Source organism: Homo sapiens, chromosome 5 (assembly GCF_000001405.40).
Source record: "Homo sapiens chromosome 5, GRCh38.p14 Primary Assembly".
Lineage (NCBI taxonomy): Eukaryota > Metazoa > Chordata > Mammalia > Primates > Hominidae > Homo > Homo sapiens.
This window is the reverse complement of record NC_000005.10, coordinates 127907367-127909159: the sequence shown is the minus strand read 5'-3', so window position 1 is coordinate 127909159 and position 1793 is coordinate 127907367. Positions and strand designations below refer to the sequence as shown.

The 1793-nt window shown below is 31.8% G+C and overlaps 1 protein-coding gene across 6 annotated transcripts in view; it reads right to left on the bottom strand.

Moving 5' to 3' along the window:
* The window catches only part of CCDC192 (coiled-coil domain containing 192), a 239292-nt gene that overhangs the window by 32348 nt on the left and 205151 nt on the right, over nucleotides 1–1793 (bottom strand). The window lies entirely within an intron of this gene.

The following is a 1793-nucleotide window of genomic DNA, read 5'->3' as shown; positions in this document are numbered from 1 at the left end:
ATCTTGTGTCTGCCTTCACAGACCTTTCTCCCTATTCTCTCTTCAGCTCCTCCTTCTAGCAACAAAAAGGTAAGCATTTTCTTTATATCACATCACATGACCTCCCTTTCTTCTTCATGCTGTAATCTAGGGCCAATTCTCCAAGCTTGAGTTCTTGATATACACTATAAATTGAACAATAATAAAGTTACATTTCATTGGTCAAAAAATGGTTGAATGTTAAAAATTTTGTGCAACTCAACCTATGAAGATATGATTTTGAGAGTCTGAGAAAATCATTTTTTCTTCTCAAAACCTGATTTTCACAACCATTATTTCCCTATAGAGCTTAAAAATCTCAACTTGGATGCCAAAGTTGAACAGTTATTCTTTGTACTATGCAGTGTTTACTCTTCCCTACCCTGAGGAGTAACCCTCAGCCTCCCACAAGGTTTACACTTAATGACAAAAGGAAATGCGAGGGAGAAATAAAAATAAAATAAAATTACCAAGTCTATAAATCATATCAGAGGATATTTCAAAATATTAGTGTTCTACCAGTATAAAAATTCAACTCAGGTACAAATATAACAGTTTTAAGTTTTTCTTGAGCATGTGACAACGCCAACATGATTATATTTTAGCAGGAAGAAGTGATGTTAAACTTTATTTCTAATCTAATTTGTTTGAGGTTTTTATTCTGTTTTGGGAAAGTAAAAGAATGACTTATAGTATTACTTTAAGAATAATACCCCTTTACACTTCTTTGAAAATTAAGATTTAGAAAAACCCTGTTCATATAATTGTATTTCATTTAGTTCTGAGTAAGAACCTGTAGACCTCTAAATTCCTAAGGGGAGAAACTGATTTGTCCCATATCAAAGAGCTGTTAAATTATATGACCAGGGGAAATAAATGTGTTTGGATTATTAGTATGTTTTGAGCATTTCCCCCTCCAAAATAATCATCTATCTGGAAACAAAAAAAAGCATGAAGTTAGCTGTCCCAGTGCTGAACAAGCTGTGAGATGTGTGTGGTCTGTGTGTGTATAAGACGAGACATTAGATGAGATGGGTCCTCTACAGGTGAGCACGATAATGGCATTAAGCCAATCTTTAATGGTTTATCCAAAACCATTAAATTGTGGTTGTAGTCTTAGAAAGTACCAACCCTGAGTAGGCAATAATCTTCCTTCCTTCACAAATACACTGCCTGTTTATTACAACCTGATTATGACTTAAAGAGTTTATGCACCATTTCTATTTGGTCTAGATAGGCAGAATGCTCTGGGTTATCAGATTAAATATCTGGATTTTCAGTTCATATGGATTCAACTAATTTTACAAACCGGCTAAAGATTTTTGTAGGTTTTGTTTTGAGAGAAGAGTCACCAGCATACCAAAGATTTTTGATGACTTAATTTTTGATAAATAATAAATCTTGTTATGTGAGCTACATTACTTCTACCAGTTTCAGCCACTGGTAACAGACAGATATAATGAAAATTTAAACCCTTTTGAAGTAAAATCGAGGCAAAAATCATTAATTACTTGAAATAGCTGATTAAGATAAAGCAAAACCTTTGAAATAGATGTCAGACTTTAACATTTATTTTAAAAGCAAAACTTTGAATAGATGTCAGACTTTAACATCTATTTATATTAGTCTCTCTGTTGAGAAAGGAAATAAATAATTAGAATAGTTTTTTATATCTAAAATTACTATAATTGATACTAATATTGGATCACAATAACTGAAGAATTGTAATATGCAAAATTGTTTTCAATGTAAATTACTTGAGATAACTTTATAAC